At 46.7% G+C, this 15,016-nt stretch overlaps 1 long non-coding RNA gene across 1 annotated transcript, besides 4 other annotated features; it reads right to left on the bottom strand.

Moving 5' to 3' along the window:
• Positions 4,478-5,678: an enhancer, noted in NCBI's record as "BRD4-independent group 4 enhancer chr8:2206168-2207367 (GRCh37/hg19 assembly coordinates), duplicate 1 on the GRCh38 assembly". NCBI's record gives its function as "activates an origin of replication core promoter dependent on BRD2, P300/CBP, MED14 and CDK7 cofactors, and independent of BRD4, by STARR-seq in HCT116 cells {active_cell/tissue: HCT116}" and the evidence as "EXISTENCE:reporter gene assay evidence [ECO:0000049][PMID:35650434]".
• Positions 6,965-7,138: a silencer, noted in NCBI's record as "fragment chr8:2204711-2204884 (GRCh37/hg19 assembly coordinates)". NCBI's record gives its function as "represses an EF-1alpha promoter that drives an FKBP-Casp9 reporter gene in an ReSE screen in K562 erythroleukemia cells {active_cell/tissue: K562}" and the evidence as "EXISTENCE:reporter gene assay evidence [ECO:0000049][PMID:32094911]".
• Positions 11,989-12,764: an enhancer, noted in NCBI's record as "H3K27ac-H3K4me1 hESC enhancer chr8:2199014-2199799 (GRCh37/hg19 assembly coordinates)". NCBI's record gives its function as "activates a minimal SCP1, AML or CMV promoter by ChIP-STARR-seq in naive H9 embryonic stem cells {active_cell/tissue: H9 hESC(naive)}" and the evidence as "EXISTENCE:reporter gene assay evidence [ECO:0000049][PMID:30033119]".
• LOC105377783 (uncharacterized) lies at positions 12,143-14,726 on the bottom strand. Its single transcript, XR_941358.3, has 3 exons — positions 14,625-14,726; positions 14,078-14,195; positions 12,143-12,705 (listed from the first exon to the last, which is right to left on the bottom strand). It is a non-coding gene; the product is annotated as an uncharacterized LOC105377783 (long non-coding RNA).
• Positions 12,765-13,549: an enhancer, noted in NCBI's record as "H3K27ac-H3K4me1 hESC enhancer chr8:2198229-2199013 (GRCh37/hg19 assembly coordinates)". NCBI's record gives its function as "activates a minimal SCP1, AML or CMV promoter by ChIP-STARR-seq in naive H9 embryonic stem cells {active_cell/tissue: H9 hESC(naive)}" and the evidence as "EXISTENCE:reporter gene assay evidence [ECO:0000049][PMID:30033119]".
• Positions 14,727-15,016: the final 290 nt, after the last annotated feature.

Raw genomic sequence — 15,016 nt, 5'->3', positions numbered from 1 at the left:
CTGTACTTGAGGCTGGGGGTGCCAGCAGCTGAGGAGGGGAGGGCTTTCCGAAAGCCCGTCTGCCTGGAGGCTGTCTGCGTGTCACTTCTGTGTCCGTGTGCATCCTCACAAGGACATTCATTTTTAAGTTTTCATGTTAGCTTCGTGCTGCGAAACTTATTATTTTGAAGAGAAAATATCTTAGATCCCTTATGAACTTTCGAGAAAACAGTCCTTATTCATAAATTTGCAAAAGTGTTCTGTGTGGATCTTTATATCACCTATCTATCATCTATCAGTCATCTATCTCTGCCTATCATTCATTTATCATCAACCTATCATCTATCTTCTGTCTGTTATCTATCTATGGATTATATATATATATATATATATATATATGTTTTGAGTTGAGTCTCACTCTGTTGCCCAGGCTGGAGAGTAATGGCGCGATCTCGGCTCACTGCAACCTCTACCTCCCGGGTTCAAGTGATTCTCCTGACTCAGCCTCCTGGGTAGCTGGGATTACAGGCATGCCATCATGCCCAGCTAATTTTTGTATTTTTAGTAGAGTCGGGGTTTCACCATGTTGCTCAGGCTGGTCTCAAACTCCTGACCTTGTGATCCGCCTGCCTCGGCCTCCCAAAGTGTTAGGATTACAGGCATGAGCCACCACGCCCAGCCTATCATCTGTTCTTATCTATCCTCTATCCATCTATCTTCCTATCTAATCAATATAGCTATTATTTATTCATCTATCATCTATGTATGTTCACCTCTCTGTCTCTCAACCAATCTATTTCTACATCTAGATCTACACATAGAGAGAGGAATCAGAAAAGTGTAAGCTTTAGAAATAGTATCTCCCAGCTGGGCGCCATGGCTCACACCTGTAATCCTAGCACTTTGGGAAGCTGAGGTGGGCAGATTACCTGAGGTCAGGAGTTCAAGACCAGCCTGGCCAACATAGTGAAACCCTGTCTCTACTAAAAATATATAAGTCAGCAGAACATGGTGGAGTGTGCCTGTCATCCCAGCTACCCGTGAGGCTGAGGCAGGAAAATCACTGGAACCTGGGAGGCAGAGGCTGCAATGCAGTGAGCCGAGATCATGCCCCTGTTCTCCAGCCTGGGTGATAGAGCAAGACTCCGTCTCAAAAAAATAAATAAATAAATAAAAATAAAGAAATAGTATCTCCCGTCTTTTGGTGTCTAAATGAAGGCTGCTTTTAGAAAGGGGTTGCAGTGTTTGTTCTGCTTGGTCCGCTTAGGGTTTTTTAACCCGGTCTTCTGCATTTCCAGTGGGACAGGAATGTTATAATGGGCTTGGTCCGCTTAGGGTTTTTTAACCCGGTCTTCTGCATTTCCAGTGGGACAGGAATGTTATAATGCTGAAAACCACCGGAGTTCAGTTTGTTTTACAGAGGAAAATAGAATGGGGAGGTTTCCCCAAAGTGTCCTTCTTTTCAAGATGATTGCTTGCCTATCATTTTATTCATATAATCTAAAAAGTTTTTAATCATGCCATTTCCTTCAGTGGGAAAATTAAGTTCCATAGATGTTTCTAGGATGTGGGCATAGAGTGATCCGAACGAGGAACTTTGTAAAGTTGGCATTTAATCTTCTGGTTATTTAATGGGACAGAGCCCCTGGCCCATGTGAGAGGAAAACACAGAGGGGGCAGGTGCCACATGATACCTCCCTGGCATGGCACATGAGCCGTCCAAATACCCCTGATAACAGGTGGGTCAGCCGTCAGCTAGCAGCCCCAGTGGAGCTTCTCAGACTTCCAGACATCGATGGGAATGGCTCAGCCACTGCCTCCAATTCACATCTGTTTCTTTTGCTAAAATAAAAAATCCTGCTTTACTTGTGCTTTAATCCTCCCTCTGAAGTTCTGTGTCATCCATGAAGCCTTCTCTGTTACTCTGGTCAGAATAAATCATGTCTCCTCTGCAAATCCCCCCAATTTCTCATCCCTGTCAGGCACACAACTTTCTGTCTGGCACCATTGCTAGCTGTTTCTGTGCTCCTCTCCTCTTCAACATGGCAAGTGTCTCGAATGCCGTCTGTGTCTAATTTATCTTTGTCTTCACAAGAGGCGCAGAAATGCTGCACATCCCAAGAAATGGTGCTGACTGGAGCCGAGTTGGGTTGTGCCTAATTGAATCCAATGGATATGCCGGGCAGAGGCTGCAGGGTCTATAGGGTCTCTGGGCGTTTCGAGGAGTCCTGTAGAAGAGCTTCTAGGACCAGAGAGAACCCCAGGGCTAACGCTCTCCCAGCTGAGTTTTCTGAGGATTGGAAAGGTTATGTGAGCACAGAAGGAAGCCCTGGTCCTCGCCTTCATGGAAGACCTCCCAAGCCTGGGCAGAGCCTTGTGGACACAGTCAGAGCAGCCCTGTGAACTACTCGTGCATCTTGCAAACGAGGCTCCCTGGGAGAGGAGCCCTGCGCTGCAGGTTGCTGCCTTTGGCACTGTCTTGCACTCCAGAGCCTGGGCTCCTCCCTGCAGGTGGGGACAGAGGCCATGTCCCCTGCAGGGTTCACTGCAGCCTCTGGGTGTCTACTCCTGTGGAGGTCTGCCTTCGCCCCATCTGGGCTGTCAGGATATGGAAGGCCACATGGAGGCCTCTCCATCACAGCACACCTGGACTTCCACGCAGGTTTGTCTCCCTGCTCTGGGCTCCTGGGTGCCGCTTTCCCGCAGAAGCCTGAACCTAACTGAAGGGCCATTGCAGTCATCCTCCTGCTCATTTCTAAGACATCTCAGGCCTCTACATTCCCTTCTGCCTCTTCTTTGTGCTCAGACATTTCCATAGAATAGCCATGTTGCCTGACTTCCATTTTCCAGGCAAGATATGCCCTATAATGCAGCAGCCAGTACAGGGTATGTTTTTTATTTAAAAGGAAATAATTCTTCTCGGGAGTAACTGCTCAACAGAGTAATGGAAGACAGATTTGTCATCTCACACAGCACAACATGCAGTGATACATGGCACAGGCCTAGCTCCCGGCCCTCGCTAATCCCATGTTGGTGCTCTTTGAATTCCTTTGTGTTCTGTACTTGCCTTAAGGAGGTTTTTAAACAATTTCTTTCTGAAGGCCAGGTACGGTGGCTCTCGCCTGTAATTCCAGTACTTTGGGAGGCTGAGGAGGGAGGACTGGTTGAGCCCAGGAGTTTGAGATCAGCCTGGGCAACTAAGAAAGACCCTGTCCTTACAAAAAATTTATGGGCATGGTGGTGCACACCTGTAGTCTCAGCTACTCGGGAGGCTGAGGCGGGAGGATTGCTTGAGCCTGAGAGGTCAAGGCTGCAGTTAGCTATGATAGCACCGCTGCACTCCAGAGCAAGACCCTGTCTCAAGAAGAAAAAAGAATTCTCTCTGGCTGAAATTTTCTTTCTCTCTATACACCCCTTTTTAGACAAAATGTTTTCAATTTATATATGCAATCTTCCAACTAGCCCTTGAATAACACATTATTCATAGCAAAGACACAGAGTACCTCGCTGGGAAACATGAATCATAAGATCAAAGTCACCAAATTCAGTACAGAGACTTGCTGGTCAGCAGGACAGGCCCACCAAATGGCAAATGCAAACACAGGATGGGAGAGAAGGGCACTGGCCCTCGCAACGCTGTGCGAGCAGAGCGTGGATGTGTCTGGTGGACTTAAAGATACGTGTACAGGCAAGAGAAAACCTCGTGGAAGAAATAGGTTCATCTTGAAGGTTAAAGCAGCTTCAGCTTCTCTGTCACTTCCTGGGCAGGAGGCCAGAGGATTTCTCCTAGGATAACAGTGGACTGTGGGTGGAGGCCTCTTTTCTCCTCCTGTGGGAGAGGAGTCAAGCCTCAGGTCAGCAGAAGGGAGATGTTTCTCCTGCGGGTTAGCTGCGCGCTCAAGCACCTAGTGTCCTGAGTTTCTTCAGGGGTTCCTGCTGCCAGCCTAACGTTCCTAAATAGAGCACTCTAGGTTTCTGGCATCAAGGCTATGTGATCAGGTGTGAGGCAGGTACAAGGTGCAGCTCATCAGTCTGGAACAGCTCCCCATTCTGGAACAGCTCCTCATCCTGGAATGGCTTCTCATTCTGAAATGATTCCCCATTCTGGAATGGCTTCCCACTCTGGAACAGCTCCCCATTCTGGAACAGCTTCCCACTCTGGAACAGCTCCTCATTCTGGAACAGCTTCTCATTCTGGAAAAGTTCCCCATGCTTGAACGGCTTCTCATTCTGGAACAGCTCCTCATTCTGTAACAGCTTCTCATTCTGGAATGGCTCCCCATTCTGGAAGGGCTCCCCATTCTGGAACAGCTCCCCATTCTGGAATGGTTCCTCATTCTGAAACAGCTCCTCATCCTGGAACAGCTCCTCATTCTGAAATGGCTACACACTCTGGAACATCTCCTCATTCTGGAATGGCTCCCCATTCTGGAACAGCTCATTCTGTCTGAAATGGCTCCTCATTTTGAAACAGCTCCTCATCTGGAACGTCCAGTTGCTTTGCATTTTCTTCTGACCTCCACTCCATACCCTCAGAGGCCATTGATCACAGTAAAAGCTGCACATCCTAGGTGGCTAAACCATGGAAAGATCACAAAGGTCTATTAGCGCCCTGTAGCAAAATGGGCCACACTACTGTCTGCAGTCAGAGTAGAATTCCTAAAACCCCACCAAATACTTCACCTTGAAAATGCATGCAGGGGACTGAAAGTGCAGTGGCTGAGCCCGCACACCTGCCTGGAGGAGCTGAGGAAGAAAATCAAATTGAGACTTAAAGGATGCTAAGATCTAGCATAGCCAATTTCAGGAGAGAATGCTAAGATCTATGGCAGCTGATTCCATGAGAGCATGCTAAGATCTAGGGTAGCCAATTCCATGACTGCACCTTTTGGACAAGAGGACATCTGATTTATTATGCCAAGAAAGGGCAATCAAGATGAGAGAGGTTTTGTAAGTCCAAAGCCAAAGAAAAAAAAAAAACTTAAGGGCTTTATTTTTGGAGATTTCTCCATTGCATTAAATTAAGCTCTCTATAGCCTGATAGAAAACTTACAATCAAATCCTCATAATAACAAAGGTGTCGATGCAGCTGGTTTGGAGATAGGTGTGGCTGTACAAGGAACAGGGCAGCAAGGAGAAAAGCCAAGGACATCTTGACTGACAGAGGGTCCAGGCGCACTCACCCGCACGCTCTCTGGGCCTCACACTTCCTCGGACTCTGGTCCACACCGCAATGAAAGGTAGGTAGTGCCAGGTCGTGGGAAAGGTGCTTGCTAACATCAGGCCGGTATTCTTGGGACAGTTCCAGGACTCAGGACAGAGCACCAGTAGTGCCTTCTCGGCTCTTCTGTTCCTCAGTCTTCTCGTCTGAGAAATGGGTGTAACAAGCCCTCTCTGCTCTTCCCTTGTAGGGTGTTTTGACTTGGGTTTAGACCAAATAAGGCAATTCCAGAGAAAGGGCTTTGAAATATCCGAAACTTTAAATCAATGTAATGTTTAAGCTGAGAAATTTTTGAATTGTATTCTTGAAGTCTCAGATGCAAAAGAGAAGCAAGAAGAATCCTAAAGTCCTTGAATTTTTCTTTTATTTGCAGGTTCTTGTATCGTGTGGTATAAAGCCCGAAATTCAGGTTGTGTTCACTGGGGCTTCTGGGCTAACAATTTGGACTAAATGAGAATCTATAGGAACTCTTGTCAGAAGATTCAATTTTCTTTTACTAAAATAAAGATCTATAATACTTGTTGCTTTTTAAAAAAAAAAAGAGCACTAACACCTCTGAGCTTTGCCTCCTTGTGCGAGAGTAATGTATTAATAATTGAGGAAAGATGGCAAGAAGGTAAAAAGAGTACAGATAGAATTCCCGGTCCTAGCCCTGAAGGAGTTCACTGATTCTAATCTTTCCTGAAGTTACAACACTGTCCTAGACAGGCACACAAACACACAGAGCAAAGAAACGAATTTCCTTGTTGAAAACATGCCGACGCTTTCTGTATTTACACTCATGTTCACTCCAACGTCCAGCTCCAGGCTGGAGACCACACGAAGGAGGCAGAAGCGGGAGGCAGAAGGCAGGTGAGCTTGTCTTGAGCACAGCCGTACTTAATCCAAACATAACCACCGTGTTCCAGTTTTAATTACAACATTTCACAGATTCTAAGATGCCTTTTCTTTTTTTCACTTTTCATGTGTCTGAGGTTGGAACGCATTTTATCATGGATGGCCTTGCACAGTCACTATTGACCCAGCAAGATCCCAGGTGTCTCTCCCAGTCACTCCAGGAAGATGGTGGTACTATTTGTACAGCCCGGACGCTTCTGGCCCCACAACATGCAAGGGCCCTGGGAGAAAGAAGGAATGCTGTCTGAGGATCTTTTCTTGACACCTTCTGGTAAAATCAAGAATTCCAGAGAACATCAGCACTAAGCGTGCAGAGCCAGTGTCGGGGTTGGAACTGACTACCGGCGTGCAGGCTTGTACAAACGCTGCATTTTCAATACTCTTGATGGCAGGAAATAATGACAGGCGGAAAATTATGAATATTCGTGAGTCCGAGATTTAAAAATGTGTAAGAAAAGGCAGATTCTGTGAAGTTTTAGGAATTCCTTTATCAATGTATTATAAGATATATATATATATACACACACATACACTCATATGGAACATATGTATGCAGATACATGCCAACAGAGTTACATTAGAATCTACATTTGTGTATGTCTTAAAGAGTTTTTTAAAATGTACAAATCAAGCATGGTCATAACTGTTTCAGCAGCATTTTTCAGTCGTGCGTACAGCTGTGGTGTATCTCCCCATCAACGGCTTTTAGATTTAATGGAATAAAATACTGGATTTAATAGAGTGAAGTCTGATGTCTGTGTCCTTCTAAAATTCCTATGTAGAAATTCCTACCTGAAAAGGGATGGTATGAGGGGGTGTTAAGGGGTGGGGCCTTTGGGAAGTGATTAGGCCACGGGGGTGGAGCCCTCTCAGATGGGTTTAGTACCCCCGTAAATGAGGCCTAAGGGGGCTCATTCACCCCTTCCGCCATGGGAGGATGCAGCAAACAGGCTCCATCTGAGTCAGGAAACCCTCAGCAGACACAGAGCCTACAGCACCCGGATCTCCAGCTTCCAGCCTCAGAACTGTGGGAAAGGCGCGTCTACTGTTTCACAGGCCCCAGTGGTGGAATTTTTGTTACAAAATTCTGGATGGACTAAGACTTATGGCTTCAGGGTTAACTCATTCTCACATCAAGAAAGTGGTACAGTTATGACAATCTTCATCAATCATAGCCTAAACTACCCCTGAAGAAATTTAGGGAGGTTTCAGATTGTGTTTTCATCTCAATTAAAATGAGTTTTATCTATCTTCAGGTTTCAGAAATTAAATTTGCATTGTGGACAAATTCAAGAAAGGCATATTTTAAATGTCTTAAAGTCAAAGTAGATTTTTTTGATCTACCTTTACCATACATCCCACAAATACAGTCATGCACCCCATAACAATGCTTGAGTCAACAACAAACCACATATTCTACAGTAGCCCCATATACTACGGTGACCCATACACACACAAACTCAAGCATGGTACATATATGCCGATGCATGCCAAAGGATGTAGATTAAAATCTACATGGAGACAGAAAAGCAGATGAGTTTGTCTTGAGCACAGTCATACTTAATCCAAACGTAACAATATTCCAATTTTACTTAAGAAATTTCACAGATTCTAAGATGCCTAACAACACATTGCTCTGTCATTAAGTGAGGCATGACTGCACGTACTAGCAGGCGAGGAAGACAGTAAATGTTCAATTAATGTTTGATGATTGACCAAATCAGGTGGGATGGTGGGGGGTGGGGGGTGGAGGATGGGGAACGATTTGTCAGACATTTTGGTGAATCCAAGGTTTCACTCAAGTCAAAATAAAAATATTCATAGAGCCCAATGCAAACAAGAAAACACACAGACAACAAAAAACACAGAACGACAATGACAAAATGGCCAAGCAGGAGAGCCGCACGTGTTCCTGACCTGGCTGCAGCTGTCCCTGAGGCCCAGGCCGTCCCGGACCTCACACCGAACCCGAGGTTATGGCCCCCAACCTTCCTCAGCCTCTCCTACCCTGACCACACAGTCGCTCGAGAGCCTTTCTTGATAGGAAAAAGAAATGAAAAGCTTAGCTCATTTTAACAGAATCAAAATGACCCAGACCTTCACATGTTTGTATCACAAGAGCTAAATCACATATTATTTGATGATCTTCCTTTATGTCCAGCTTGGGTTAAGTGAAGCATTAATTAGAGATGAAAATTGTTATTTTTTTAAACATAAATTTACACTAAGTAGGTGAGTCATTTGGTGTCTGAAAAAATAAAACCTAAATAACTCCAACTTCAGACACACCAGATAATACTCTTAAACTTCCTTAACTGACTTTTAAAGTCAGTTTTTTCCCATTGGTGCTTCCTACAGCACCAGAGAAATCAGCATCTCTGTAGGATCAATGTGTTTGTGTCTGCAGGAGCTCAGATAAAGCCCTGGTTTTAGCTGAATGATTAGTTGTGATACCTTTTAAATGCTCTTTTGGGTATAGAAATGCTGACTTAGAATTTATGATAACACAGAAATCAGCTTATAGAAATATATGAGAACTATCATATCCAGGAATTAAATGAATCCACTCATAAATAAAAACATATTGATATCCACCTGTTAAAGGAGAGGAACTTGATATCTTTCTCACCGACAGATAGCAAGACAGGCACATGGAATTTTTATGCTTGCATACACTATGCTTAGGGAAAACAGGAAACAAACTTCTCTTAAAACGGTTTTATTATTTGTAATTAAGAAGCTTGCAAAATTCTCTCTCCCATTTATTTAAATATCTGAATTATTCTTGAAGATCGTATGTTACATATTTTCATTTCTTCTTCTGCTTGTTTTTGCATATGTGGCATAAATTGTGAGTAAAACTCTTGAATGGTGTTTCATATCAAACACGAATCCTCGTGTCAAGCTCTGAGCAAAGTCGTGAGAGGAGAAAGTATCTCCCAGCAGGATTATTCATTCCTTCTGTTGACGTCATCTACCCATCCACGCCAACTCTGGCCGCCCAAGGCCACCAAGCTAATAGCACTCAATGGTGTTCCGCATGTATCCTCCCTATGGACTTACCAACTCCTAACCACCCAACCAGAGTGGGCCTGTCTCCTGCTTCCCACCCTGCTCTCTGCTCATTGAAAGCTGGCTCTTCTATGCTACTGGCTGGTTTTTACTAAGGCATGCATATGTTTCTCCTCCCATAATACAGATGTGTATATTCACATGGGCCTTTGGAATATGTCCATCTCATGTGCAGCCTAGAAGCTCCTCCACATGGCTCTGTCCACCCAAAATGTATTAGGAGTGACTGATAATTTCAATCAGTTCTCACTTCATCTAGTAACAGCCTTTTCTGAAATTCAATTTCCTCTCAAAAAGAGGCAATGACGCTTCTAAGATCAAGCAACCTTTCGCCTAGGCAAATGACAAACCTATGCAAGTGACAAATTTCTTCCACCATTGAAAATCGATCCATTGGAAATATTCATCATTCCAATCAATAGGGAGCTTGCGTAGGGAAACATGTGTGACTGGGCCGAGGCGGGCAGATCATGAGGTCAAGAGATCAAGACCATCCTGGCCAATATGGTGAAACCTCATCTGTAACAAAAATACAAAAATTAGCTGGGCGTGATGGTGCTCGCCTGTAGTCCCAGCTACTCAGGAGGCTGAGGCACAAGAATTGTTGAACCCAGGAGGTGGAGGTTGTGGTGAGCCGAGATCATGCCACCGCACTCCAGCCTGGGCAACAGAGCAAGACTTCATCTCAAAAAAAAAAACAAATTGTGCTAGTGTAACCATCCTTAACCAAAAGCAAACGATTATTCAGAGACAAATGTGGGTATTTGGGCTCTAGTGGATTTGGGGTTAAAATTTGGAAGTTTGAAAAAGCTAAAGGTTTCTCAGAGCCTCTTTTTAAAAGTAAGCTGCATAAGCTGCCATTCTTTATGAGGCCTCGTTTCATTCCCCTTAAACATGGCCTTGAAATTCCGTATGTGGGAGAATACATGAATATTGAATCAAAGGTGCATGGCTGGCATATTTTATGAAGATTCCCTACAATCTAACTATAAAGCACCACCAGGAAAAAAAAAGATTACTTTTATTCTGGTTGACACAAAATTATGCATTAGAGCTTCCAGTCAAAACAGACATTGTTAGGAAATGTGATAATTTTACTCCAACATTTCCCCTTGCTTTCAGAATTTTTACAAAGATATGGCTCCAGCAGGCACAATGTGGGTACTCTTTTCTAATATGATCAACTGAGCAATTCGTAAATTAAAATAAGAAAAGATGAAATCGCATTTAAACTGCACCACCACCTGGGCTTAATAAAGTTGATATTCCACCTGTTTGAACGCTCAGGAGCACACAATATTTCCATAAACCCCAGCGATCACAGCATGCTTCTTAGTCACCATGGTATCCAAATCACTTAATAGAGGAATAGCTCTGAACGGCTCTACGACACCGATTGATCCCTCACAAGGCAAATACGTAGGAGGCGAGTGTGCGCTGGACACCGCGCAGGTGACAAGAACGCGGCTGTAAGGAGGGCTACGGCCCCTATTATGGCCTAGCTTACAGGCGGGCTGGAAAGGTGGACGTTTCACTGGTAATTAACCAGAATCCCATAGAGGAGCTTGTGGTGGGAAGCCTCTCCTGGTTCAGACATTAGGAAAGGCCTCTCGGAGCGGCACTGAAGCTGAGGTATGCAGGAGCAAGTCGTGTGGAAACGGAGGAGATGGTGGGGAAAGCCACGACCAGCGGAACCCTTCAAATGCCCAAAACGCAGGGCCCTGAGCTTCCTGTGCTCAGCTATCAAGAGGGGCTACTGAACTTGAACCTCAGATGACGTCGGGGCTGGGGGAATGAAGTTGGAGAGAAAGGTGGGCCCTGAGTTTGAGAGGGTTTCGTAAGCTATGTTAAGGGATCTGGACGTCTTCCCAAGGGCCAATGAAAGATGAGAAATGAATTTAACATAAAGCTATTATGGAATGCATAGCTTCCAATGATCATTCTCACAGTTGTGTGAAGACACAGGACTCTCCAGCTGGTCAAATGGGGTACAGAGTGATGACTGAGATGCTGCCGTCCCTGTCCGAGGGGAGTGACTTTGGGGTGGCAATGGAGATGGCAAGAAGAGACGTGCTTGGAAGCACGTGCAAGAATCAGAGCCTCAACTTAGAGCTGATTGTCCTTAAAAAGCAGCACCCCACATTAGGCACAGTCTAACCAGAGTGATGAGAAACCAGGCTCCCACCCACACGAGGGTGAGGACAGTAAAGGCTCCTGACTCAGTATCACGTGAGAAATGCTGACAGAAGAATAGTCCAGGTGGTACCTGGGGAAAACCTTGTTGATTTGGGAGCAAATATGTGTAAAAGCTATCTACAAATAAAGGCAAAGCTGCCCTATAAAGAGTAATCTTGCTTGGCTTCAAAGAGCAGAACTAGGGTCTCCAGGGAGAAGCGGCGGGGAAGCCAATCTTACCTCAGCCTGAGAGAGCTTTCTAACAATGGAGGCGGTGAATCAGGCTTCCTCCAGGACCAGGACAGTGTTACCTCAGCCTGAGAGAGCTTTCTAACAGTGGAGGCGGCAAATCACGCTCCCTCCAGGACAGGGTGACGCCAGCCTGAGAGAGCTTTCCAGCAATCTAGGCTGCGAATCAGGCTTCCTCCAGGACCAGGACAGGGTGATGTCAGCCTGAGAGAGCTTTCTAACAATGGAGGTGGCGAATCACGCTTCCTCCATGTCCAGGATGGGGTTAGGACAGCCTGAAGGAGTTTTCTAAAAATCGAGGCGGTGAATCAGGCTTCCTCCAGGTCCAGGACAGGGTTACGTCAGCCTGAGGGAGCTTTCTAACAATGGAGGTGGCGCATCAGGCTTCCTCCAGGACAGGGGTTTGCTCCCCAGGTGCAGGGGCTCAGGTGAAGAATATGCATGAAGTGGGGAAGCGCAAACATCAGCGAGTATTTGACTTAAAACTTAAAAATTCAGTTCAGAGGGAGGGCAAAATTAGGCTCTGGGTAGCAGATGCTGGGTGGATTCTAACATAAATCTTTCTAACAGTTTGTGTGCTGGGAACACAAAGAGGAAAAGGCTGTTCAGAAGACACTGGGGTTCCTAGGTTCATGGAATCCAACGTGAGGATTTCTTACTCCTTTGGATACTAAGTGAAATGGGAGCCATGCTTGAGAATTACAAATAGAAAACACACAATGCAGGACACCCTATAAATATTGATTCTTAGGCCAACCAAAACCCCCTGAGGGTGACACTTCCAAAGCAGCCACTGGGCTCACATCAAGTCAGAGCAAAGAAGAGTCACCCCAGCCCAATGCCCCTGCTGGAGCATCCAGGCCCCAACAGCAAGAGAAGGACTGGATGGCTCGCCCAGGCAGGGGTGTCTTCCAGAGCCTGTGGCTGCAGCACCCACAAGTGCACTCACCAGGATTTGCACACAGGGTGCCATTTTGTTGTTTGTAGCATCTCAAGCTTCCCTTCTTGTGTTCCTCCCTTGGGTCAGCAGAACCATCCTTGGACACCAGGGGAGAGGGGCTCTTGCTCTGGGCTCTTGCTTGCAAGCTCCTGTGCTGGTCCTCCTACTGCTCCTACAGGGCAAAGGCAAGCCCCCACCTGGAAGCTGAGCCCCTTCCATGTACACTGTGTGATTGTGTGTGCTATTCACACACACACCAGCCCCTAGCCCTTATCACCCAGGTGGCCCACGTCTGACCCAGGCTCACCTGGGCCTCTCCCATGAACCTGGCTTCATCACAGCAGGCGTTAGGCCTAAGAGCTGGCTGGGCTCAGCAGTCTATAGAAAGGTGTGATGGAGCTTGGGTGCATGGTCTTGGATTGGGTGGCTACACACATAGATGGGGGGGCCCCTGATTGGGGACCTGGTAATGGGCAGGATGGGAAAGGGGAAGGTCCCTGCTGGGGGCCCGCCCTCCCCATGCCCCATGGCATGGAACTCTAAGAAAATAAGGATTCTAAATGCAGACCAATCTAGTTCAGGGGTTGGCAGACTCTGCATAAAGCACCCGATAGTAGATAGGTTCAGTTTGTGGGCCACACAGCCTCTGTCTCAGCTCCTAACTTGGACTTGTGGCATGAAAGCAGCCAGCACGTACGTGGCTGAGCATGGGCTCTGCACAAACAGGACCCAGATGTGAGCTGCTGCCCACCAATACCCGTGGTCTGTATTCCTGCATGTATGTTTGTCAAGCTGAGGGGCTGGAACACATGCAGCAGTTACTGACTTAGCGATAACCTCTAAAATATTTAGACAAAATACATGGGGGCCTCCCTGTGTGCCTCTGCCCCATTTCCCATGGGTCCCAAGGGTGTCCTCGAATCTTAAAGAGCCCAGGCTGGGAGGGCCCAGCAAGTGATCTTCTGCCACGAGGGCAGCATCCCAGATGAACACGGGGACCATAGAAGAGGCGGAAGCCCCGGAGATGTGGCCGGATGAGAGTAAGAGGGGGATGAGCAGGGCTCTGATACTAGAACCTAACTTTGACGTGTGAAGAAAATTCTGTATCTCTCCCTCAGAGACATGAGTGACTTCACCTCTGCCTCCTGCTTTGGACGTGACTGTGCTGGCCTTGGAATGCTCACAGCGGGTCCTCTCCTTCTCTGCCTCTCCACAGCTACCCACACTTGAGGGCCGGGCTTGCTCTGCATTTCCCTGAGGGTCTCACCGACACCACCTCTGCCCGGCTTCTCTGGCTCACTGCAGCTTTGCGGGTTCAAGCTGTCATGCATTGCAGTACCTGATGTGCTATTTCTGGGAGACTCATGGGCGTGTGTCTTTCCACATGATATAAAGCCCTGTGTGCCCCCTACAGTGACCTTCCTGTCTGTCACCACTGCCCACCCCTGCACCAAGCCCAGGGCCGGGCACCTCCCAGGCACTCCATAAAGGCTTCCCGGGTTGGCACTGCATCCTCGTGGAAAGGAATGAACTGTGGAACTTACGTCGGCATTGGGACCGTCTACCCTATGTCCCGCGTCGTCGGGATGAGAAGGGGAAGTCTGGTCGGCAACCAGGAGTTCATTTCTCACCATCCTTTAGGCCAGTGTTAAAATTCTGTTTCTGTTTCAAGGAAAACACGGAAGGTCAGTGTTTAAACAGATCGCTTTGCCGCTCTCGCTGCTACCTGAGCAGAAAAAACCCATCCCTGCCAGCTTACTTTCTCTGCTGCATGAACCCATCTTTTCAATAAGAAAGGCAACGTCTGCCTTCTTCACAACCAAATCCACTCACTGCGTCCACTCAGGGAGAAGGTGGCAAAATATATTCCCTTAATTGTTAGGATTAATTATTACTCTTTAAATTCACTCCAGTAGCTGGGATCTGGCTGTTAGTCCTAAAGCCCACTTAGCAGTTTTGGTGTTTGTTTGTTTGTTTGTTTGTTTGTTTTTAGTTGGATTGAGCTGTTCTAATACTCCTTTTTGGGAGCACTCCAGGCACTCCAAACAGCTCACCCTCACTGATAGATGTCCTCGTGTCAAAAATAATTACCCAGTGCAGATGGAGCCATCAGAAGGAGACTGGGACCCGCCTTCCTGCTGTCCTGGGCCCCAGGGCCCATGGTCCTAAAACAACAGCTGAGACAGCGTGTCTTCACCCGGGCAGACAGCCCTCCTGGAAAAGCTGCAGAGACCCCAGAACTGCTCTCCAGACTCATCCTCAACTTCAGAGCCTGATGATCACAAAGGCGAAGAAAATCAGGGCAGCGCTCTCTCCGCCCTGTGATCTTGAAGACGACACTTCCGTTACAGATGCTTGCACTTGGAAACAGAAGCATGAGTTGCCTTACCAAGTACACACTGGCTTGCTGCGGGTGTAGTTCATCACGGTTTTCACAGGCCTCGCAGACCGGACCTTTTCCTAAAGCACCTGATTCAGCCGAT

This window comes from Homo sapiens, chromosome 8 (assembly GCF_000001405.40).
Source record: "Homo sapiens chromosome 8, GRCh38.p14 Primary Assembly".
Lineage (NCBI taxonomy): Eukaryota > Metazoa > Chordata > Mammalia > Primates > Hominidae > Homo > Homo sapiens.
Note: the sequence above shows the minus strand (reverse complement) of the source record. Positions and strands in the feature narration are given on the sequence as shown.